We start from the raw sequence: 24,163 nt of genomic DNA, 5'->3' as shown, positions 1-24,163 counted from the left end.
AGGTCATGCCCGTGTGAGCCAGGAAAGGGCTGTGTTTATGGGAAGCCAGTAACACTGTGGCCTACTATCTCTTCCGTGGTGCCATCTACATTTTTGGGACTCGGGAATTATGTGAGTACCGAAACTACTTATGCTTATGGTAGGTGTACCACACGCACAGGGAAAGAATTGCGTTTATGTGGGACAGGTGAAAACAATCGCAAAAAAGCAATGGAAAGGGCTTTGAGAGTAATTTATCTTCTGAACAATAGCAATATGGCAACTTCTAAATGGTGAGAGGGAGTCCCTCTAAAGCAATCGATTTGAAGATTGGTTGGACAAACAATGGGAAAGTCATTGTCTTAGCAGAATTAAGTTCATACTTTTTTTTTTTTTTTTTTTTTGCTAATTCTAGAAGCTTTTCTGTTATCTGCTGTAGCTCAGACGAAAATGCATTCTCACCAGATGACTGTTTTTGGTTAATCGATACTGAATGCGCTTTGTGTGGACTGTCGAATTTCAAAGATTTACCGTATGACCAAGATGCACCTGATGCTACAAGTATAAATAGGGGAACAAATGCTTTCTGTTCTTCCTCGGCTAAGGAGGTAGAGGTGGAGGCGGAGCCGGATGTCAGAGGTCCTGAAATAGTCACCATGGGGGAAAATGATCCGCCTGCTGTTGAAGCCCCCTTCTCATTCCGATCGCTTTTTGGCCTTGATGATTTGAAAATAAGTCCTGTTGCACCAGGTAAGTGGACCCAGGTGAGGACTCTGTGATTTCTGCCCATACCCTCATGTAGGTGACCAATGTGACTGACTGTCCCTGTGGGGGAAATATCTCCCCAGCCATTCTGACACCCACAGGCTGGACACCTGCACTTCCCTAGATCTGCAGAATCTCAGGGAGAAGGGGCATTGGAGAGGGGATCGTTTCGTTAAGCCCTTTGCTCTCTCCCTGGAGACCGGTGTTTTCTTCTCTTGTTGGAGGTTTTCAGAGACTGGGGCTCCACAATTGTCCTGTCAATCCTGAAGGAGGTCAGATCCTGGCCAGGAAATCTCTGAGTCCTCCAGGAAGTCCTGAGAAGCAGTGGCCACCAGTCCCTCCGAAAACTCAGGATAAACTGGATGTCGCCAAAGATATTAGAGGCCTAGATTAAAATCCAGCAGCAGATGACGGAGTGGCTCCTAACAACTGAAGGAAAAAAGTTGGTTTCGTAAATAAGTCACAAATGCCTGATAAAACAGTGGACTCTCTAGCAACCTATACGGCTAGGATCTTTTTGACCAGAGATAGTCAGGACTGGTCAAAGGGAGCTGTGGGGTTGCCGGTTCTGGAAGTCAGGGCTTGGACGCAGGCAGATTCCTGACACATTGGTGCTAGGGAGGAACCACAGGAGCTCTGCCTGAGGTTCCAGAAAGTGGGAGTGGGGGTCACCCTAATGATTTCTTTTAAACCAACTGGAAAATTGGCTTGGAGGAGGTTTGGAAAGGATGGGAGGTGGGAGAAGAGGTTTCAAGTAACTGAAAAGACACACATTTAAAAATATGGCTCAAAATTAGCTAAGTGTCAATGAAAGAAAAAAAAATCTTGCAATCACCTGACTCCCAAAACTTACCTGGTTTTTATGTCTGCAAAGTCTCTTCCTGCTTTTGCCCGTATGTGTGGTTTCATGCACAGTACAGATATAGGCAGGTGGGTTTTTTCCATAAAAGGTTTTTATAAATTTTTTCTTATGGAATCACAGTATTCCATCAAGTAGATATGCAATTTACACAGCCATTTGATCATAGTTTGACCTATAGTTGTTCCTAATATTTTATAATATAAATAATATGAATATTAATAGCACTATAATATTCCTTTCTCTTATTTTTTGATTATTTTGCTATGACTAAGTAGTGGGGAGGAACAAAAACTTTTCCTTGTAAATAGAGTAATGTATTGTTCATTAGAAGAACAATTTAGAAAATACAGTTCATTGAAAAGATTTTTAAAAATTACCCACGACGGCATCATTACTCAGAGATAATCCTATTAGCAATTTATTATTGAATTTCTTGCCTTTTTCTATCTATATATCTATATTTCCTTTGGAAGTAACATGTACTATTTGTATTATTTTGAAGCTTTTAAAAAATTTTAACAATATCACCTTCACCTTTCTATGGCATTAAATAATTAAATATTTTCTAGATGTTGACAAACTATGGCTGATGGGTCAAATCTGGCCCACCCCCTTCTTTTGTAAATAAAGTTTTATTGGAACACAGACATGCTCATTTGTTCACATACTGTCTGTGGCTGCTTTCACGCCATAACAGCAGAGTGGGGTCGTTAGGACAGACCGCATGGCCCATAAAGTTTAAGTGCTGTATTTACTGTCTGGTCCTTTACAGAAAATCTCTCCAACCGTTTTCTATATCATCTTGTCCTCCTATAGGTATTCCATTATATGTGTACCTCATTTGTTATTTCACCCGTTCTTTTTTGTGGGTAATTTGGTCCGTTTCCTGTGCATCAATATTATAAGTGCCATTCTTCTAAGTGTCCTTGGGGGTCGATATTTGCGTATATCTATGGTGACATTTTAGGATAAATTCCTAGAAGTGGAACTGCTAGGTCAAAACTTTCATCTGTTTTTGAGCTTTCCGGTGTCTAAGTTTACACAGCTGGGAAGTTTACACAGTTTCTACCCCTGTGACTGTAGGTGGGGGACCATTTCCTTTCACTTCATGTGAATCATTGTGAAGTTGGCATGTAGTTATGTCTCATTTGCATTGTTTTCATTTCTCAAGAAGTTGAAAGCTTTTTTTTTTTCTTTTTCTTGAGACGAGGTCTCGCTCTGTCGCCCAGGCTGGAGTGCAATGGCGTGATCTCGGCTCACTGCAACCTCCAACCGCCCGGGTTCAAGCGATTCTCTTGCCTCGGCCTCCTGAGTTGCTGGAATTACAGGCACATGCCCCCACACCCAGCTAATTTTTGTATTTTTAGTAGAGGCGGGTTTCACCGTGTTGGGCAGGCTGGTCAAGAAGTTGAAAGCTTTTTCATACTTGTGCGCCATTTGCATTCCTTCTTTGGAGAAATGCTGTACATTTCATTGTTTATTCCAGGCAATGTCCTCAAGGACCAAGCACAGAGGAGGCGTGGGGCCCCTGCAGTGCCCTCAGGGCAGCCTGACAGAGAAGCAGGGCAAACGGGAACTGACACAGCCTTTCGATTAAATGTCAATCTTTGATTTGACAATTTGGGGTCATTTTCTAAATCCAACTTAAATACAGAGCAGCTGGAATGTGAAGATGTCATTCCTGGGGTTCCTGCAGATTTCTAAGTATAAGACGAAGGGTGGGCATCCTTATAGAGGAGAATTGTTAGTGTGCGGGGGATCGAGGTGTGAGGGTGGAGAGAGGATCCTTTCTGCCAGCTCACCACCGCAGATGGGCTGTCCTGGAAGGACTTGGTCTCAGACCCTGAGTTAAAACGGCCTTCATTATCATGATGTCATTCATTCATCTAGCACATTTTTATCAAGGACTACTGTGTGTCCCCTGCTGTTCTAGGTATGGATAATGCAGCTTCAACAAACCACTGAGCTTGTCCAGGCCTAAAACACAGAACTTGCCACGGTCTCTCATCCTCCCTCACTCTGCGTTCCTCACAGCCTCCACATCTGCGAAGTGCAGCTTCTATTTCCCTGCTCTTCCTCCATCTCCTGCTCACCCTCTCCTCTGCACACTCTTTTCTCCTCGCATTCCATGTCTTTTCATCATTTTTGTCTTCAAATTCTCTTCTTTCTTAGGCAGCCTCAACTGATATTGATCATTTCATTATCACACTCCTTATTGCCAGAGGGTAGAAGTTGTGAGTCTCCACGGTCAGGCAGGGAAAGATCTTTTTAGCTCTTCCATGACAGAGCTCTCGGCTCAACATGTCCAAGACTAGGAGAAGAGAGGCAGGTGCCAGTCTCATCCTGGGCAATTGTGTGACCCTGGGCAGGCTTCTCTCCCCTTTCTGGATTCCAATCTTCCTTATTTTTAACAAAGACAACTTGGGCATTCATGTATTTTTAGGATTGATGAGGTAATTTAGGTGAAATGGCCTGCTCTCCCCAGGAGGGAAGAGTGCTAGTGGGAATTCTCCTGCTGCCCAGAGAGGCTTATACTTCTGGCCAGGCATCTGGACACTCCTTACATATTGTTTCCACCAGATTTGCCTGGTTCTAGGGGCAAGAACTGTAAAGGGCCTGAGATGTCACCCTACTTGCAAGCCAAAATTTAGCCTGCCACAGTTTCATGGGTGCTTTGGAAGACACGAGAGTCCTGGGTCAGAGACAAAGGACTCTATTCCTCACAGTGCAGCAAGGGGCACAAATATCCTGTTTGTGCTGGCTGCCTTTGCCTTCTCAGTCCCACAGAGGCATGTGGAGCAGCCTGTGTATGCCGCACGTGCAGGCAGTTTGCATTGCTGCTGCATATCCCAGAGTTAAGGGAACCCTCATCTTTACAGTGGTCTGCAAGCAGACCTGTGCAAACTTTGCTCTGGAGGAAGGCATTATATTTGTTAAACTGGACAGTAAACAAACCTGCCTCTTGCTCTGGAGGGAGACGCTATCTGTATCTTCCAAGGCTGTTTGCTCTACACACATTCTTGAAGAGATGATCTGGAATGAAAGCTGTCAGTGTCTGTGCACAGCAATTGTGGAGAATGGTGTATCAACATCCTGTCCTCGGCTGGACATGGTGGCTCACGCTTGTAATCCCAGTACTTTGGAGAGCCAAGTGGGGAGAATCACTTGAGCCCAGGAGTTTGACATCAGCCTGAGCAACATAGTGAGATCCCCATCTCTATAAGAAAAAATTTAAACAAACAAACAAAAATCAACATCTTGTCCTTGCATCTCCTCTGGGAGATCTCAGCACTACCTCTGCCTGCAAGCCCCCCGTGTGGGTTTCACCCCCTCCTCTGCAGGGAAACAGCCTTGGAAGTTGGGATGCTACTTCCCCTCCATCTTAGTGTCATAGGGCTGCTGAAACAAAGTCCCCAAAACTGGGTGACTTAAAACAACAGGAATTTATTGTCTCAGTTCTGGAGGCCAGAAGTCTGAATTCCAAGGTGTCATCAAGGCCATACTCCCTCTTAAACCCATAGGGCACCGTGCCCTGCCTCTTCCTAGCTCCTGGTGGTTTGCCAATAATCTTTGGCATTTCTTGGTGTGTAGATGCATTGTTCCCATCTCTGCCTTCATCTTCATGAGGCTGGCTTCTGCCTGTGTCTCCTCCCATCCTCTTCCCTTCATGCATGTTTGTCCCTGTGTCCTGATTTCTCCTTTTTGTTTTTGTGTTTTGGAGACGGAGTTTTGCTCTTGTTGCCCAGGCTGGAGTGTAGCAGTGCGATCTCAGCTCACTGCCACCTCTGCCTCCCAGGTTCAAGCGATTCTCATGCCTCAGCCTCCTGAGTAGTTGGGATTACAGGTGCCTGCCATCATGCCCAGCTAATTTTTGTATTTTTAATAGAGATGGGGTTTCACCATGTTGGCCAGGCTTGTCTTGAACTCCTGACTTCAGGTGATCCACCCGCTTTGGCTTCCCAAAATGTTGGGATTACAGGAGTGAGCCACTGCACCCGGCTGTTTTCCCCCTTTTTATAAGGGCAACAGCCACGTTGGATTAGGGCCCACCCTAATGACTCATTTTAACTAGATGACTCTGTAAAGACTCTCCAGGCCATCTCCAAATAAGATGCCATTCTGAGGTACTAAGAGTTAAGACCTCAACGTGTCTTTCTGGGGGATACTATTCAACCCATAGCACATCCCCTCATCCCCCATGGAATAACCGGGTCAGAGGTGGAGCAGGTAGGACTGAACTAGAGAATGTGCCCCTTGGTGGGTGGCCCTTTCCCTAATTAAGGCACCTTTCTTTGGGCTGAGACTTCTCTGCAAAGAGGGGAGGGGGAAAGGATAGTTAAATTTGTAAGTTTCATGGCACTCCAAGTCAGGTTCTGTGGCTTTCTGCTCTTCCTTTTTCTGGTTTTCAGATGCAGATGCTGTTGCTGCACAGATCCTGTCACTGCTGCCATTGAAGTTTTTTCCAATCATCGTCATTGGGATCATTGCATTGATATTAGCACTGGCCATTGGTCTGGGCAGTGAGTACAATTCATTATTTAGTAGGATCTCAAATACCTAGCCAAGTAGTTAAACTTTCATGAGCGCCCCCTCTCATCCCAGCATTTTGCTGCTGCCCAGCCTTAATTACTGGAGGCAAACATCCTTTTGGTTTGCTGACTTGAAGTTTTATTTGCCCACATGAATGTAAAGTCAGTCTGGGGTGCCGCAAGGGCTGCTGGCCATGCTCATGGCTTTGTCACCAAGGAACCTGCCCGGTTAGGAGTGGCCAAAGGCAGCTGATGAAATAGAATCCTGCAGGTGGGAGGGAGGCACTGACCGGGGCAGCGGGGAGAAGACAAAGAGACCTATTCATGCAATGCAGGCGCACCAGCTGTTTTTACAATAAGGTGCATGTGGCTTTTGAGAAAGTGGGTCATTTGGATGGAGGGTCTCTAATAGGGAACAATTTTTCTTTCAAATACCTGAATCACAGGTCAGTTCAATTCGCCACCTGCCCCACTGTGTGGTCCACACTTCGTTCACTTTCTGCCTTCGGTAAGAGAAACCAGGAAGGCCGAGCAGTTCTCAGTCAGGACTCCTTGCTCGGCTGGCTCAGCAGGTCGGCCCCCCGCCATGCAGTTTCTCTCTTGACCTTGAGACCTCCAGAGTCTAAATTCACCTTGCACTGTGGTTCCTGGGCCAGGCCACATAGCGAGATAAAGTGGGGCACAGCAGCCCCACCCCTTGGAATTCAAAACAGAAACTGGGCTGCAGGAAACAGGCTGCTGACAGGGACGCAATTTCAATACAGGTTTCATTATTCACGGGCCAGCTCCGCACTGTGTGGCAGGGGGACAGTTGTTAGTGTTGCACTCTGAAAGAGCTGTTGGTTAATTCCTGCCTTCCTCCCTTTTCCCAGTCCACTTCGACTGCTCAGGGAAGTACAGATGTCGCTCATCCTTTAAGTGTATCGAGCTGATAGCTCGATGTGACGGAGTCTCGGATTGCAAAGACGGGGAGGACGAGTACCGCTGTGGTAAGGTCATGGCTCTTCCCCTGGGGAAACAGAAGGAAGCAGCAGAAGCCAACCCTGACCCTTCCCATCTGTAAAATGGGTCCAAGTCATTGCCATTTTTAGGTCATGTCTTCAGCTGGGATTGAACTGGCGTTTGCCCAAAGACATGTTGGGCTGGGGGGTCAGGGAGGGCCTTCCATGGAGCTCTGGCTCTCTTGGGGAGACCACATAAGCAATAAGATGAGACCAGCGAGAAGTCTCAGGGATCCAGAGTCACTGCTCTGTGATGGGGAGGCTGCCGTGGACAAGAAGTGGGTCAGATTTGGCAGAGGAGGGGTTTGAGCTGGCTGTGGAGAAACCCCTGCCTATGGTCTCAGGGTTCCACTGGCCACTAATAAGCCTTTCTTTCTGCACATCGGCCAGTCCGGGTGGGTGGTCAGAATGCCGTGCTCCAGGTGTTCACAGCTGCTTCGTGGAAGACCATGTGCTCCGATGACTGGAAGGGTCACTACGCAAATGTTGCCTGTGCCCAACTGGGTTTCCCAAGGTAAGTTAAAGAGCATTTCCAACCCATGGGCAAAACACAGAGAGGATAACAATAAAGAAAGACAACTACCATTTAGTTGGGCACTATTGGGTGCTTTAACGCTCTCAGATTACATCCTCACATCCACCTTAGGATGCCCGATATCATCCTCACTTCACAGGCAAGCAAACCAAGGCCAGACAGGCTAAGTGACTTGCTCAAGGCACATGGGAAGTGGCATGTTTGGGGGTTCCCAGGGCCAGGCCAGGATCGGAGATACGAACATGCAATAAAAAGTTTCAAAGTAGAAAACAAAAACAAAACCAAAAAACCCTCCAGCTCCTCAGCTTGCAGCTCCTAGAGTAGCTTCCTGGACACTTTCCTGCTTGGTCCTGGCGGTCACATCAATGTCCATGCACGCTTCCCCAAGAACCCCACAGAACCAATTGTTGAAAGTCAGAAATTTAGTGAAGACACAATCATCCAAAACACTTGTTTAGCAACATGTAGAACAAAGAACTATAACAGTTGACTATTCACTTTTTAGTGTTTGTGTTGCCTACATGATTTTTTGCATTGGAGTGACACAGTTTTGGCCTAGGCATGGGCCTCCTTCTCTCCCCTGGCCCCTTCCTTCTGACTTCCTGCGGCCGCTGTACTTCCACGGGTTCCCCTAGCAGCCTCCTTACTCCCCTTTGCTCTCAAGTCTCAGCACTCAAAGCAGGCAGGCTGCATTCTGCTTTGCACTCAAGTAGATGGGGTCGTTAAAGCCACACTGCCCTGAGTCCTCCACAGAGTCTCAGTTTTCAAATTCCATGAATCATATTCTCGGCTGTCTTTCCCCAAAGCTGGTGGAAGCCAAAATGCCCTCCAGCCTCCAGCCCTGAGGTCTGCCTCCCTCTCCCTCCACACCAACTGAGATTCAGAAATGAGCTGCAATTCAAGTTCAATGAGAAGAGCAAAAATCATCCACACTAACGTCTTCAGGAATGATGTATTACTCCTTAGAGACAAGGAGGAAGAGGTACACACACACACACACACACACACACTGCACACAGCTGAGAGCTTCCCCATTGGGCATTTCTCTTCCCCGCTGAGCCTCTTCCTCTGACTCATTGGGTGGGGGGTGTTGGGGGGCCTCCTTTTCTCTTCTCTCTGCCCTCCTCCTCTGTCCTGGAGGACCACCGCTCTGTCTGAGCAAACCCCAAGGCCTCTCTGCTCTGTTATGCAGAAAAACTCAGCTCAATCCCTCTCCTTCCCCACCCAGCAGACCCAAGTCAGGAGCCCCAGCTGTCCCAGGCATCAGGTAGAGGCCACTCATGGTGGGGGTAGCCTTCCCGTCTCTCTTCCACCCCAGCCCGTTTGGTAAAATATTCCTTCTCATCCTTAATATGCTCCCTCTACAAGGAAATCCAGGGAATGCGATGTCCCCCATCTCTCACCCCAATATTGCCTACTTTCTTCTCTATAGGCTTGTTCTTTTGTTCTCTATCCATTGCTTCAGTTTCTAAGATTTATTTCTGCATTTTGTTCTATTTTCTTAAATTCTCCTTAAAATCCTTCTTTAATCTTCTCTGCTCTACTACATCCTATGTCAGAGATCTGTGATTCAAAAATAAATAAATAAATAAATAAATAAATAACCAAAGGACGGTCAAGCTAGATTGCTTGGGTTCAAATCCCAGTGTAGACTCAGGCAAGTTCCACACACAGTTCATGCCTCAGTTTCCTTTCTTAGAAAAGAGGGATGATAATAGCACGTACTTGGAGGGGAACTGAAGTTCCGCTGACGCTGTGAGTGTGGAAGGGCTTGGTGGGCAAGAGCACACTGGGCGAGTGTGTGGTTGTGGCTGTCATTGTTACCATTTTGAGACTTGGACAGTTCATGGGGCTCCAGTTGCAGCACTGGGGTCCCCTTGCCTGGCACAAGCCCCGCCACCTGCACTGGGGCCAAGCCATCCCAGCAACCATCGGCTCTTTCATGCCAGTGCCAGCGGAATCCGTGCATTGAGCAATCCCTGGAAGGGCTGCGAAGGTCGTGCCCGCCGCCTTGATTACATTTTCCTCAAAACTCAAAGTTGACTGAACTTTGTATTCTACATACACACCCCCATAGCATTTACAGTAAGCTGAAGAAATCCTGTTGATAAGCTGGTGTGTTCACTATGAAAACAAGCCTACTGTACTGTGTTTTGTTCATTTCACAAGGGAAGGAGAACATGGCTGTTTATTCACCATCTTCCATCTTGTGACTCTCCAAACATGTGATTCTTCTTTAAAAAGTTGCATCACTTTCACCACTGTTCTCCAGAAGACCTGTGTCCTGGCACTGTAAAAATGAGCTGGGCTCTGGTGTTCGTGGAATCGCTTTCTTGTTTGTGTTCATCTCTTTCCAGTGGGGCTCTGCGCTGGTCCTGGGCAGGTGAGGGATGTCTCTCCTGTTCCTCCAACTCACTGTTCTTGGAGAACTTGGTGTCCCTGCTTGGGTGCCCCCCGACAATACTGCACCTAGTTTTGTGCTCACCTCCCCTCTGGACTTGCTTCAGGCCAAGCAAAAGGCATTTCACTGGAATGCGCAAAGAGTGACTCAACCAAGGACATAGGAGATGGTCACTCACTGTGTGGCTGCAGCCCAGGGTGGGTGGACGGGGCTGTCAGGTACAGGCCAGAAGCGGGGGTCATCCCAGAACACAGCAGGCCTGGACTGAATGCCTTGCCAGGGTGAGTGAACTTCATTCTCTTGGCAAAGGAAGCCTTTGATGGGTTTGGGGGGACAAAATGACATCCCCCATGTACAATCCCTGTAATATTGTGACTCGCACATCGGTTGAATGCTTCAAAGTGTAAAGTTACCACGTCGGGTCTGTCTTTCCAATGTGCTTGCAGCTATGTGAGTTCAGATAACCTCAGAGTGAGCTCGCTGGAGGGGCAGTTCCGGGAGGAGTTTGTGTCCATCGATCACCTCTTGCCAGATGACAAGGTGACTGCATTACACCACTCAGTATATGTGAGGTAGGTGGTCAGGCGATGCTGTTGTCTGCACAGGTATCGAGTCACCTGCTGGATTTGTGATGCTATGCACAACTCCACAAGGACTTAAGAGGCATGCATGTGTTATCTCAGATGGAAGGTGGGAGTTGGCCACCTTGATGAGACTGGTGGATGCGCCAGGCTGGGGGTGTGAGAACCTGAGGGAGTATGGCCCAATAAAGAAAGGGAAGGAAATAGAGTAGAAGGGTAACAATGCTGTGAGTGTGACCAATGTACTGTCATGTGACAGGCACTCTGGGTGTGTCTGGGGAATGAAAGCAGGCAAGCAAGAAGGGGGGTGGGGAGGAAAAGAGGAAGGGAGGGAGGGAGGGAGGAAGGAAGGGAGGGAGGGAGGAAGAGAGGGAGGGTAAAAGGAAGAAAAACAGAAATTAAGATAGAAATTTATCCTTCTTTGTTTACGAAGTATTTTAGCATTCATTATTTATTTTACATGTTTTCCCCAACAACTCATGGGGAAGGTAAAACCAGGTGTTCTTAAATAACCACCAGGTAACTGAAACTTACAGGGACCACATGCCTTGCCCCAGGTTAGACGGTGTGTAGCAGATACAGCCAAGAGTTCTGAATCCAATTCCATATTCTCTCCCTGACATCTAGGCCCAAACCCTAAGATGTGCATTTTCTGCTCTGGGAACAGTAGGCTTGTTGGTCTGTCCGTCGGGGATGAATAAGCACCCCGGGACCCACCTGCAGTCTGGAGGGACAGCTCATGTGTTGGGTGCTAAATCCACAGTCTGGTGACACTAGCTTTCTCTTGCATGATGAGCTGGGGCTCAAAAGGCAGAAAACATTACAAAGATTTTGGGATCCCTTTCCCTTCACTATGAGAAAAGCACACACCCTGGTCTCCACCTGTGTGTGGGGGTGGGGGTAGGAGTGTCAATTTTGGGGCAATCACACTTTATTGCTCTGGGGAAGGAGTCCTCTGCCAGATGTGTGAACCCAGGCTACAAGGAGTCCTAGAGAGCTTGCCACGCTGTCCCTTGGGCACTCTTGTGTCCCTAGGGGCCAGGAGGTGGAGAACATTGGGCTGAATCGCCATGCAATGACAGCGTGACATGTTGATAGAATATATCTCCTTACACATCCTTTATCACTAGCTATCTAAAGCTTAGAAATACAGAACGGCCTGTTGTGTACACAATACTTCACTGTTAGTTGAGTGTTTTACAATGAATTGTGTGACCTCATCCTCATGGTTTTTTTTTTTTTTGAACATAGACTAAAATTGTAATCTATATTCAAAGAGGGGGAAATAGAATTTATTTTTCTGTTACCCTAAGATTGAGTTTTTAAGAGTGTTCCTTTCACAGATCTGGGGCATTTTTCACAGAGCCTACTTTTTCTCCGCTTTAGGGAGGGATGTGCCTCTGGCCACGTGGTTACCTTGCAGTGCACAGGTAAGAGTTCCAGAAAGGCAGGGGTCCAGGGGGAGCAAGCACATGCTAAGTCCTATCTCCTTGCCCTCAGAGTCCTCTCCCCCCATGGGGCTCTGTATCCCTTCCTCCTGGGTGCCAGGCGGGAACTCTGTGTACCCCTACCTGCTGGAGGAGGGGAGCAGTGTCATCCTCACCTGTCGGCCTCACCTGTCAGGTGGGGGAGACAGCCAGAGCAACTCATTAGCAGCGGACAGGACCAAGGCCCATGATGTCCCATCACTCTGAAGAGCCTTGAGTCCCTGACTCAGTTCCCACTTCCTCCTTACACGTGCACAGTGCCCACTCCAGGCCTCGGGCAGTGCCCCTCGTTCCTGGCAGAGGGGAGTGTTCACACCACAAGGGTGGGGTCTGGAGCAGTCAGGGAGGTGCGTGCACCAGCGGCAGTGAGGAGGGGGCTGCAGAAGGTTCCTGCCTGCTCCTGACATCCCAGGGTGTTGTCATCACTGGGGGAATAGGATGGGGAGTGGTGCTGCCAATGCTGGGCACTGACCAAGCAGGGCAGGTGCTTTTCCCACCGCATCCTCCACAGCACCCACCATCCTCAGGTCTCCCCAAGAGCCTGACCACCTCCCCTGCTGAGCTCCCCCTTGCAGCACTTGTCTTAGAGCTGCTGTGAGCTCTGGGAGCAGGGGCAGTGAGGGTGGGGAGAGAGGAGCAGGTGCATGGTGGTGACACCATGTCCCCCAAAGAAGTCTGCAGGGTGGACCCACAAGCCTTTGTTCCCCTCCATAGCCTGTGGTCATAGAAGGGGCTACAGCTCACGCATCGTGGGTGGAAACATGTCCTTGCTCTCGCAGTGGCCCTGGCAGGCCAGCCTTCAGTTCCAGGGCTACCACCTGTGCGGGGGCTCTGTCATCACGCCCCTGTGGATCATCACTGCTGCACACTGTGTTTATGAGTGAGTGCTGCTGACCATCTTCCCAGACCCCTGTTCACTCCTGGGTCATGTCAGGGTGGGGCTGCTTTGGGTGGTGAGAAGCGGGTCCAGAGGGAAGACAGAGAGACTAACCTCCAAGTAATGTACAGTTGGAGAGGAGTCTCCAGCCTCACTGTGGACCCATCATCATCAGCTGGGGGTAACTTGTGACCCTGAGCTTGTTTTAAGGATTGTAGCTCCTAGAGAAAGGGCAGACAGAAGAGGAAGGAAGCTCCTGTGCTGGAGGAAACCCACAAAAATGAAAGGACCTAGACCTTCCCATAGCTAATTCCAGTGGACCATGTTATGGCAGAGACAGGGTGAGACGGTGGTGCGGGAGGCTAGAGGGAATATGTTGGGGGCCAGGTACTGGGTCTCTTCTTAAAATCTCAGGAGTTTAGAGTGCAAGAAAACTACAGAAAAGACTTCCAAACACAATGGTTCTCCCTGATATTTTTACCCCCTATTTTGTTGCTGTTTGATGAACAGTAGTGCCTGATAGACTCCTTGCAGTGACCAATGTTGAGTTCAGCCCTCAAATGCCAAGACGACCTCAGAGGTGCTGAGAGTGAGGTCTGGGAAACACATGGGGTGTGGGTCTGTGTTTCTGTAGGGCGTGGCAGTGCAGTTGCATATACAGCATAAACAAGCAGGGTGATGGGACCACATCTTGCCTGATAACCTCTCCCACCATCTTCCTAGGTTTTCAGGATACCTGAGGTCAATGAGTTCAGTGGTTGGACTTTTCCTGTGCTTCACCTCTTGCTCTTCTCATTTCAGCTTGTACCTCCCCAAGTCATGGACCATCCAGGTGGGTCTAGTTTCCCTGTTGGACAATCCAGCCCCATCCCACTTGGTGGAGAAGATTGTCTACCACAGCAAGTACAAGCCAAAGAGGCTGGGCAATGACATCGCCCTTATGAAGCTGGCCGGGCCACTCACGTTCAATGGTACATCTGGGTCTCTATGTGGTTCTGCAGCTCTTCCTTTGTTTCAAGAGGATTTGCAATTGCTCATTGAAGCATTCTTATGATGGCTGCTTTATAATCCTTGTCAGATATTAATAATTCCAACTCCTGATTCATGTTGGTGTTGGCATCAGTTGATTATCTTTTCTCATTAAAATTGTGATGCTCCTAGCTCTTGGTATGACAAGTGATTTTCAATTGTATCCTGGACAATGTGGCTCTCATGTTTGCAGACTTGAGTCCTACCTACATTTTCAATGTTACCCTGTTTAAATGTAGTTTGTAGATCCTGGCCTACAGAATGAATGCACTGATGACTCTGCCAGGTAGATTGGTGGGCTGTAGTTCCAACAATAATTTTAGAGCCTTCGTGGGCTGTGTGCTTTGTCTGGTGCCACCTTCTCCCTGTTGGTGCCACCTTCTCCCTGTTGGTGCCACCTGGAGGCAGAAAGAGCTTCTTGAGGCCAGACCAGCTGGGGCCTCTAGGTGGTGGAAGAGAGTCATCCATCTGTAGGGACAAAGAGCACTTTCCTGTCCAGGAGCCTATTGTGGAGGGGTCACTCAGCCAGTGCCTCCCACCTGCCTGGTTTCTCCAGGTAGAGGGGCCATCTTGGTTGAGAAACAGAACCTCCCAGGCTGGCCAGGTGGTGTGGTGGAGTCCTCTCATTTCTTTACAAGCTGAAAGATGCTGGGCACCCTCAGCTCCCTGGAAGTACAGAAAAGTTCTCTCCCAACCAGCAGCTCCTAAAGACCCTGTTTCTTGAAAAAGTCAAGCCCTGCCCTCTGGACATTACGAAAATGCCAGAAGAGCCACACCTGATAAAACTTTCAAACATCTCGTAGATGCAAACAAAGTACTAGGAGACTACTCCCAATTAAATTAAAGCCCTCTTTCCTTCTTAAGAAAGCAGGGAAAGCATAATAAATAGGTTAATTCCCTCTTATTGAAGCAGAATCCTGACCTGAGACCAGCTGCAGGCTCTACCTGGCAGAGTCATTACTGCATCCATCACATGGACACGTAATGCCCAGAAACAAATATTTCCAGAGAAGCAGGAAAATGATTATGGTGGTGCCAGTCTGCCAACTATTATTAATGATATTGGTTATAGGAAATGAGGTGCCAGCACTTGTACTTTGCCAAAGTTTCAAGTGAGTTCTTTTATTCCTTCTCTACCTCTCCATTACTGTTCTGCACAGAAAAGCTCGGGGAACCTCAGGGTGTGTTCACACGAAAGCCCGAGGTATGTGCAGGGCACTCTGGCTTTGGGGGAGGCCCACAGGATCCAGCCCTACACACAGGCAAACTCGTCGCCTCCAGATATCCCAGGAACCATAGCAATATTCATGGAGCCGTGTTCTATAGGCAACACCCACACTGTGATCTAGCCAGGAGTGGGCACGCGTTGGCCTGAGAGCCTGGTCTGCCCCATCGTGTTTTGGTAAATAGACATTTTACTGGACACAGCCACACCTATGTGGGTACCTGTTACCTGGGGCTGTCTTCATGCTCCAATGGCAGCCAGAGACCGCACAGCCCACGAAGCCTACAACATTGACTATTCAGCCCTTTCCACAAAAGGTGTGCTGACCCTGGTCTAGGTTCCCTCACGCTGCGACGGTGGAGGGCTCTTTTACAGTTTTAAGTGCTCTGGGTGTGGTGGATGGGGTAAGGGGCTCCTGCTGTGAGCTGATCGTTTTCAAGTAACCAAGGGCTTGACCTTCCTTCCCTTGGGAGATAGTTTGGGCTCCTCAGAGGCAGAAGCATAGATGAGATTGTTTTCTCGGACTCCTGCTTCAATTGAGTTGTGAACTATTGTTTCCCTTCAAGCAGAAATGATCCAGCCTGTGTGCCTGCCCAACTCTGAAGAGAACTTCCCCGATGGAAAAGTGTGCTGGACGTCAGGATGGGGGGCCACAGAGGATGGAGGTCAGTGGGCTGAAGCCAAGATTCGGAGTCCAGGGGCTCAGAACCCAGAGGGCTGCGGAGGGGGCTCCCCCAATGTCCCATTGTGATGTTCCCATGGGCTGCCCAGATACCCCGGCCAGGGAGTGCATGTCAGCTGCTCGGGACACAGTCAGCCAAGGAACTGTGGGTCAGGAGTCACGGTTCCATTGTTATGGGGACAACATGACCCTGCAGACCTTCTCAGGAGAGAGTTAGACCTTCTCGAACACAGCAGGTGTTTCCCTTTCCCTGCCCGGACCCCCGGCCTTGTTAACTGAGGACATACAGAGCCCACCTAGACAACCCTCCCAGGCTTCATTCAGAACTCAAAGATTCGTATTTGTGAAGACTCTTTGTCTTGTGGGACTTTGGAAGATGTGTTCTTTCATCCTACAAAGAGCAAGTGGAAGCAGCAGCAGATGAGATCGCTGTAATAATAAGGGAAGTAGGAGTGGCAGTAACCATAGTCCATGCAAATGAAGCCCGGGCCACCCTTTCCTTAGTGTGGGTACAGAGCTGGTCATGAGTCTTAGGTTTTTCCATCAATCACTTTCTTTGTTAGTAGGAAGAGGATTCATTTTCCGTGGCTGCCGTGACAAATTATCACAGTCTGCGTGGCTTAAAACGATGGAAATTGGCCAGGTGTGTTCCCTCACACCTGTAGTCCCAGCATTTTGGGAGGCCGAGTCTATGGGATCCCTTGAGGCCATTAGTTTGAGACCAGCCTGGGCAACATAGAGAGACACCGTCTCTACAAAAAATACAAAAATTAGCCAGGCATGGTGGCATGCACCTGTAATCCCAGCACTTTGGGAGGCCAAGGCAGGAGGATTGCTTGAGCCCAGGAGTTTGAGACCAGCCTGGGCAACATGGCAAGACCCTGTCTCTACAAAAAATTAAAAAAATTAGCCTGGGCCGGGTGCAGTGGTTCATGCCTGTAATCCCAGCACTTTGGGAGGCCGAGGCAAGTGGACCATTTGAGGTTCAGGAGTTTGAGACCAGCTTGGCCAATGTGGTGAGACCCTGTCTCTACTAAAAATACAAAAATTAGCCAGGCATGGTGGCGCACACCTGTAATCCCAGCTATTCAGGAGACTGAGGCTGTAGAATCACTTGAACCTAGGAGGCGGAGGTTGCAGTGAGCCGAGATCATGCCACTCCACTCCAGCTTGGGTGACAGAGCAAGGCTCCATCTCAAAACAAACAAACAAACAAACAAACAAACAAAAATTAGCCTGACATGGTGGTCCCAGCTACTCAGGAGGCTGGGGTGGGATTGCTTGAGCCCAGGAATTCTAAGCTGCAGTGAGCCGTGATCATGCCATCATACTCCATCCTGGGTGACAGAGTGAGACTTTGCGTTTAAAAAAACAAAACAAAACAAAAAAAAAGTGGAGATTTATTTCCACACGCAGTTGAGGTGTCTGTAGGGTGGTTTTCCTGGAGGCTCTGACCCCTTTCCTTTGGGTTCTGGTGGCGGCGGCTGCAGCTGCACTGGCATTCCTGGGCTTGTAGCTGGATCTCCAGCCTCAGCCTCCTTCCTCCCGTGGCTTTGCCCCCTGTGTCTCTGTATCTCAAACTTCCCTCTCCTGTGTCTTATAAGGACAGCAAGTCGTTGGATTTAGGGTCCACCCTAAACGCTGGGAGATCTTATGTTGAGATTCTTACCTTAATTACATCTGCAAAGACCCTGTTCCAAATAAGGTTGGGCTCCATAGTGGCAGGTAGGCATATTTTGGAGGGGCCCACAGTTCAACCTAACACAGGAATTTCAGTGTTTTCCACTCAACACCAATTACTTGAGCCCACCCCCAGCTGAAGGCACCCAGGAGCTAACCCGGATGCTTCGAGTCTGTGGGCCTACTTACCCCCCACCCACTGGCAGTGCTGCCCACCTGGCCGAGGGCACTCACAGCTCTCTGTAGTTTCCAACCCACCCACATGGCCCAGGCCCAGTTCTGTGCCAGTGTGGCTGGTCCAGGGCCTTTCTAGCTTCATCAGAACCAGCACCCCTGGTGTGTGGTGGGAGCTGGGACACCAATCTACGCTCCCCTTCCTCTCATGGTGGGCTCTCATTCCGGACCAACCAGCCCACCAGAGTCATTCTGATGACACTGGGCTCTGAAGAGGAGGCTGTGCAACAGCTTCATCCTCCCAGGAGATTCTCCATCCCGCTGCCGATTTTCTTCTCGCTGTCAATCTGCTCTGTCCAGTGCAAAAGGTCCGACGAGCCCCTGTCCTGATGTAGCTTCAGCTCCAGCCTGTCCTGGAATCTTCTCCCATAATGCATTGAGCTGTTTCGCCACGTTCCGGGCAGGAAGCTGAGTGTCTTGTGATACCATGTGCTCCTCAGAGCAGCCCCTCAGGGTCCTGTCATTGTGTGATTTTGTTGTCTCCATGGAATCTATGGAGTCTTTAAAACACCAAGATGCCTGGGTCACAAACCAGCTGAGTTGGAGGGGTCCATCCCTCGGTGTCGGGGGCGTGCTTGGCCCACTGCACGTGGATTAAGTCTCCTGTGACTGTTGCAACAAACGACCCCAAATTCGTGGCTTAAAATGACAGAAAGGTATCATCTCATAGTTAGGAAGGTCACAGGTCCAAACTCAGTCTCAGGGCGCTGGCGTCAAGTGTGGGCTGTGCTGGCTCCTCCTGGAGGCCCTTGGGGAATCTGTCTCCTGCCTTTCCCAGCGTCTGCACTCTGCCCACACTGCTTGGCTCGTGCCCCTCCTTGGTCTTCCGGGGCAGCAATGCCGCATCTTCGAATCTCTCTCTGACTCTCTGACTCTGGTCCCTGCTCTGTCGTCACAGCTTCTCCTCCGGCTCCTCCAAAGACCCCTGTGACTTCGTCAGGTCCACCCTCTTACTTGGGATCATCTCCCCACTCAAGGCCTGTCCCTCAATGCACCTGCAATGTCCCATTTGCCCTGTAAGGTGACACAGTCACAGGTTCTGGGGATTGGGGTGAGAATGTCTTTGGGGTCATTTTTCTGCTGACCATCCCAGAGTTCACAAAGACGCTGAGTGAGTGACCCTCCTGAGCCTCAGTTTCCCTCCCATAACCTGGGGTGTTCTGATGGCTGATTGGGCTGGTGCCCTGGGGAGGTGTCTTGGCCACTGTTGCCCCTACTCCTCCTCCTCTTTGGACACCTTAGGGGAGTCGGTGGCCCTGCCTTGAAGCAGACTGGCCCCTTGCGGCCACTCGTAGGAGGGCAAGCTCGGGCTTGAGGTGCTTCGAGACAGTGGGAGTCTGCTCGTCCCACCCGCAGGGCCCTGTCCTTTTCCGCTGTTGCGACACACCAGAGAGCATCCCCCTCGTCCCTCGTTCCCTCACCCCCCTGGTCTCAGCATGCGCCTTCTGTGTTTTGGGCCGGGCTTCCTTCTCACACACATCCCCTCACTCACTTTGAAGCAGGTGACGCCTCCCCTGTCCTGAACCACGCGGCCGTCCCTTTGATTTCCAACAAGATCTGCAACCACAGGGACGTGTACGGTGGCATCATCTCCCCCTCCATGCTCTGCGCGGGCTACCTGACGGGTGGCGTGGACAGCTGCCAGGTACGGGGCCGCAGCGGTGGGCGAGGCCGTGGCAGGGTGACCCAGCCCTTGGGACAGGTCGTTGCCAGCGTTTCCCTGTGACAGGACAAAAAGTAAATTTACAGGGCGTGGAGAAGAAATTTGCTCAAGATATCACTCCTTTTCCTGGCTGCCAGCCCTGTGTTTACCCAGTGATCTGGCTCTGCGTGGGTGCTGGGTGGTGGGAGGGGACTCATGCTGCTCCCCTCCAATTCTGACTTTGTGGGGGACCACAGGGGAGGCAGGTGGTGGGGAGGCAGGTGGCGGGGAACCAGTGAATCTGGCCCTCCGAAAGCTGCAGTGGCTGGGACTCCAGTTCTACTAGGTGGATCACAGGTCACCTGAGGGCCCTGGCCAGGTGGACCCTCCCTCTCACCAGCTGCCCTTGAGCTTCAGAGGGTCAGGGTCTGCATTCTGGAAGGGACACACAGCTGGAGGCAGCACCCCAAAGGGGCCGAGGGACATCCTCCCTTGGGGATGCTGTGTCTGGAAGGGCTGGTGGGTTCCCTTCTGTAACCTGGGTCATCCATTGGGACATCATGAAGGGGGGTCCCAACTCCATAGCAAGCAGCCTCACACGGCAGACTGTCCACAGAAAGCAATCTCGCATGGCGGTGACTGTCCCCCAATCTTTGCTTCTTTCCTGTCACCCAGGGGGACAGCGGGGGGCCCCTGGTGTGTCAAGAGAGGAGGCTGTGGAAGTTAGTGGGAGCGACCAGCTTTGGCATCGGCTGCGCAGAGGTGAACAAGCCTGGGGTGTACACCCGTGTCACCTCCTTCCTGGACTGGATCCACGAGCAGATGGAGGTGGGTGCGGCGCCCTCCCCAGCTCACGTTGTCCCTGGCTTTTGACCCTAAGGTCCCTTAAATGCAACCCTGGTCTTGCTATAAAAACCAGGGCGTGACCCAGTGGTTGTCAATTCAGCAGCAGTGACTTGGTGGCTCCAGGGTGTCAGACGCTTGTGCTGAAAACAGAGATCACAGCTAGTCCTGGGCAGCTCTGGGTGGGTGCAGCCTGGCAGGCAGAGGAGCTGGGGCCCGGGAGGAAGAAGGAGCCTCACGACATGGGAAAGGAGGAGGCAGCGAGGAGGAGCCCCTGCTGGGATGGGGATGGGTCGGGCGTGCCCCGTGTGCCAGGAGCAGGGAGAAAGTGGGAGGGGGCGGGGGGCTGAGACAGTGCGGGAGAGGACCTTGCCTGCCTGCTGAGGGGCTGGAACCTCGCTGGGAGCCAGGGATGAGAGGCAGCAGTCAGGAGAGGCTTGGGGAGCTCTGCATTGGTGGTGTGGGGGGGTGGGGGGTCCCGGAGGGGGAGGCGTGGAAGTGGGAGGGGCCTGCAGGGGGGCACCCAACAGCGAGGCTGGCTTGGCAGGACCCGGGCATGGAGGGGAAACCTGAGACGGTGGAGGAGGAAGAAGGAGGCTTAGGGCTTCGCTGGGACCCTGGCAGCTGCGTGCTGGCAGGTGAACACGGCGCCTTTCTCATGTGGGCGCCGGGGAAACATTTGCTGGCTTGATCTCAGATGAAGTCTCTCCTTGGGATGGTTTCAAACACAGGAGGTCCTCACTTAATACGGTTGATGGGATCTTAGAAACTGCAGCTTTAGGAGAAACAGTGCGCACAGGCCCTCCAGCAACGTCCTTGCTTGCAATGTAATTTTGTTATAAAGTCGATGAGAAAAAAAAAATTGGTTTCATTATATATCATTTTGCTTAAAGTCGTAGTTTCCAAGAACTAACAATGACGTCAAAGTAAGTACGTTTTTTTTCCCTAATTCAAGTGAAATTTATATAACATACAATTCACCATTTTAAAGTGAACAACCCTGTAGCATCAGCACATTCACAGGGCTGTGCAGACACCACCTTTGTCAGTTCCCAGCATTCTCATCTCCCAAAAGACACGCGGCACCCTAGAAGCACGCAGTTACTCCCCACTCCACTTTTCTCCCCAGCCTCTGGCACCCACCAGTCAGCTTTCTGTCTCCAAGGCTCAAAGACCTTTTTAAAAAGCTCATTTAATTTGAAACAATTGGCCAAGAAAGGACATCAAATGCTGAATGTGCCTCAGGCGTTAATTCCCGTTTTGCTCTCACTGATTTTGTGCTTTAAATGAGAAACTAAAGAATGGTGCCCACGGGCACAGGGTGAGGCCTGGGACTGAGACCTGGGCTAGCTTCACCTCCAGCACTGCCGCCCTGCAGCCCTGAGCACCCCCTCGGGGCGTGGTGAGGGCTGTGCTCGGGCTGGGTGGAAAGTGCTTGCTCCTGCTCACCTTGCTGGGAGAGGCAGCCTGGCCCCATACTAGGCACTGAGTGGCCTGCTATGCTCTTCAGTATAAAGCTCAGCCCAGCCCGCCCGCACTGTAGAAAGGACCAGGATGGACAACTGAATGGGAGACCTCCTCACTGTTCAGGGTGCTGTGGGAGCCTGGGGGGCACAGAAGGGTCGCGTGGGCACAGAGGGCAAAGGGCAGGAAAGGAGAAGCCGGTCCTCCACACGGGTCTGCAGTACATGGAGGCCTTCACGGGACACAGATCCCCAGGGGCTGAGCACTGAGCTGGTGATCCTAAAAGTCCCCCTTAAGACACTGAAGGCGCAAGGCAGAGAAGCCCACCGCCGTGTCTTCCAGCTGTCGTGGGTGAGCTGGAGACAAACGTTCAAAATCAGTCTGGGGAGCCCGCTCACAACGGTTCCATGACGGGGCCACCTCAGCCCCTCCCATGTCAGCACCGTCCTGGGCCACAGAGCCTGTGACCCTCCCTGTACTACAGCGGAGACGACCTGCATGAGGCCCCCCCAGCTAACAAGGGCAGAGTGTGCCTCACATCAGATCCCCGACGTGGCCCCAGTGTGACTGCACAGCAGAATCAACAGATCTCAAACTTAGGGGTGCAGAAGCCTCTCTCAGGATGTTTGTTAAATGTGAAGATTGCAGGGCGTTTATCTGGAGTCTGATTGGGAGGTCTGGGGTGAAGACCCTGGTGAATGTGTTGCATGGGGGCTTCAGGGCACACTGAGAAACCCTGGGAGGGTCTTGGAGGCAGTTTCCCCTGTTGTGGTGAAGCTGTGGTGGAGGAGCTCGTCTGTGACGCTGGCTCCGGCGATGCCTGGGGCCCCTGCTCCCTGCACAACGCCTTAGTCATCCGCTGCCTCCAACCCACCAGTGCATGCGAGAGATGCGCAGCCTCAGACACGCCCTTTCCCAAGTCCCTCTTCAGACGTCCTAGGGGAGACCCAGAAGAGACTTCCTTTCCTGGGAGGCTTTCCAGCAGGCCCGCTGTGCGTTTCAGTTGTCCATTGTGAGGAAAGTCAACGTGAGGGCCTTTGGAAGACTCACTGTCTTGCGGGGAAGTGTCCCGTGTGCTAGTTGGTGGCATGCCCATGGCCTCATCTTCATTTTCATCCAGCACTTTTCTCTATCTAGTTGGGGGTTTAAAACAAAATTGTTGTGACTCAAACCAGAACTCAGGAACATAGTGCCGAGACCTGGAAGTTTCCTACGGAAGTGACGGAACTGTCGCAGGGCGGAGATGGGACCTGCGGATGCATTGCTGGTTGGAGCTTTTCATGCCTGCCTGGGATCCACTCAGAGCTGGCAGCCCCAGGGGGAGGCCAACCTTGTCTTCATCGTGGAGAACAGCCCCACAATTCCCACAGGGCAAAATGCAGGTGCCCGCTCCGTCATCATGTTGGACGGATGGCTGGAAGTGCTAAAAACAATAACGCCTTTGTTTTCATTTATAGAGAGACCTAAAAACCTGAAGAGGAAGGGGACAAGTAGCCACCTGAGTTCCTGAGGTGATGAAGACAGCCCGATCCTCCCCTGGACTCCCGTGTAGGAACCTGCACACGAGCAGACACCCTTGGAGCTCTGAGTTCCGGCACCAGTAGCAGGCCCGAAAGAGGCACCCTTCCATCTGATTCCAGCACAACCTTCAAGCTGCTTTTTGTTTTTTGTTTTTTTGAGATGGAGTCTCGCTCTGTTGCCCAGGCTGGAGTGCAGTGGCGAAATCCCTGCTCACTGCAGCCTCCGCTTCCCTGGTTCAAGCGATTCTCTTGCCTCAGCTTCCCCAGTAGCTGGGACCACAGGTGCCCGCCACCACACCCAACTAATTTTTGTATTTTTAGTAGAGACAGGGTTTCACCATGTTGGCCAGGCTGCTCTCAAACCCCTGACCTCAAATGATGTGCCTGCTTCAGCCTCCCACAGTGCTGGGATTACAGGCATGGGCCACCACGCCTAGCCTCACGCTCCTTTCTGATCTTCACTAAGAACAAAAGAAGCAGCAACTTGCAAGGGCGGCCTTTCCCACTGGTCCATCTGGTTTTCTCTCCAGGGGTCTTGCAAAATTCCTGACGAGATAAGCAGTTATGTGACCTCACGTGCAAAGCCACCAACAGCCACTCAGAAAAGACGCACCAGCCCAGAAGTGCAGAACTGCAGTCACTGCACGTTTTCATCTCTAGGGACCAGAACCAAACCCACCCTTTCTACTTCCAAGACTTATTTTCACATGTGGGGAGGTTAATCTAGGAATGACTCGTTTAAGGCCTATTTTCATGATTTCTTTGTAGCATTTGGTGCTTGACGTATTATTGTCCTTTGATTCCAAATAATATGTTTCCTTCCCTCA

The 24,163-nt window shown here is 50.6% G+C and overlaps 1 protein-coding gene across 4 annotated transcripts, besides 5 other annotated features; it reads left to right on the top strand.

Annotated features, from left to right (window-relative positions):
- On the top strand, nt 1-24,163 carry TMPRSS3 (transmembrane serine protease 3). 4 transcript variants are annotated; one of them, NM_001256317.3, is made up of 13 exons: nt 1-111; nt 585-729; nt 6,016-6,126; nt 7,008-7,124; nt 7,527-7,650; nt 10,519-10,644; nt 12,040-12,083; nt 12,855-13,020; nt 13,819-13,988; nt 15,841-15,936; nt 19,370-19,512; nt 20,185-20,337; nt 23,274-24,163. In NM_001256317.3, exons 2-13 carry the CDS (start codon nt 636-638, stop codon nt 23,289-23,291), a joined length of 1,362 nt encoding a protein of 453 aa, NP_001243246.1. In that variant the 5' UTR covers nt 1-111; nt 585-635; the 3' UTR covers nt 23,292-24,163. The 4 variants fall into 4 exon arrangements, with proteins under 4 accessions (NP_001243246.1, NP_076927.1, NP_115781.1 ...); NM_024022.4 differs by having other exon boundaries at nt 19,367-19,512; NM_032404.3 differs by lacking the exons at nt 1-111; nt 585-729; nt 6,016-6,126 and having other exon boundaries at nt 6,904-7,124; nt 19,367-19,512.
- Nucleotides 709-1,908: an enhancer, noted in NCBI's record as "BRD4-independent group 4 enhancer chr21:43814254-43815453 (GRCh37/hg19 assembly coordinates)". NCBI's record gives its function as "activates an origin of replication core promoter dependent on BRD2, P300/CBP, MED14 and CDK7 cofactors, and independent of BRD4, by STARR-seq in HCT116 cells {active_cell/tissue: HCT116}" and the evidence as "EXISTENCE:reporter gene assay evidence [ECO:0000049][PMID:35650434]".
- Nucleotides 2,699-2,938: an enhancer, noted in NCBI's record as "active region_18513". NCBI's record gives its function as "activates an Ori minimal core promoter by ATAC-STARR-seq in GM12878 lymphoblastoid cells {active_cell/tissue: GM12878}" and the evidence as "EXISTENCE:reporter gene assay evidence [ECO:0000049][PMID:35858748]".
- Nucleotides 6,480-7,365: an enhancer, noted in NCBI's record as "H3K27ac-H3K4me1 hESC enhancer chr21:43808797-43809682 (GRCh37/hg19 assembly coordinates)". NCBI's record gives its function as "activates a minimal SCP1, AML or CMV promoter by ChIP-STARR-seq in primed H9 embryonic stem cells {active_cell/tissue: H9 hESC(primed)}" and the evidence as "EXISTENCE:reporter gene assay evidence [ECO:0000049][PMID:30033119]".
- Nucleotides 18,793-19,363: an enhancer, noted in NCBI's record as "H3K4me1 hESC enhancer chr21:43796799-43797369 (GRCh37/hg19 assembly coordinates)". NCBI's record gives its function as "activates a minimal SCP1, AML or CMV promoter by ChIP-STARR-seq in primed H9 embryonic stem cells {active_cell/tissue: H9 hESC(primed)}" and the evidence as "EXISTENCE:reporter gene assay evidence [ECO:0000049][PMID:30033119]".
- Nucleotides 22,422-23,370: an enhancer, noted in NCBI's record as "H3K4me1 hESC enhancer chr21:43792792-43793740 (GRCh37/hg19 assembly coordinates)". NCBI's record gives its function as "activates a minimal SCP1, AML or CMV promoter by ChIP-STARR-seq in naive H9 embryonic stem cells {active_cell/tissue: H9 hESC(naive)}" and the evidence as "EXISTENCE:reporter gene assay evidence [ECO:0000049][PMID:30033119]".

This window comes from Homo sapiens, chromosome 21 (genome assembly GCF_000001405.40).
Source record: "Homo sapiens chromosome 21, GRCh38.p14 Primary Assembly".
NCBI classification, from domain to species: Eukaryota; Metazoa; Chordata; class Mammalia; order Primates; family Hominidae; genus Homo; species Homo sapiens.
Note: the sequence above shows the minus strand (reverse complement) of the source record. Positions and strands in the feature narration are given on the sequence as shown.

What these genes read in the sequence shown, in the direction of transcription:
- TMPRSS3 (NM_024022.4), top strand. Translation starts at nt 636, where the DNA reads ATGGGGGAAAATGATCCGCCTGCTGTTGAAGCCCCCTTCTCATTCCGA. An exon ending in GGTTACCTTGCAGTGCACAG is followed by an intron (nt 12,084 to 12,854) that starts GTAAGAGTTCCA and finishes TCCCCTCCATAG; the next exon opens with CCTGTGGTCATAGAAGGGGC. An exon ending in GCTGCACACTGTGTTTATGA is followed by an intron (nt 13,021 to 13,818) that starts GTGAGTGCTGCT and finishes TTCTCATTTCAG; the next exon opens with CTTGTACCTCCCCAAGTCAT.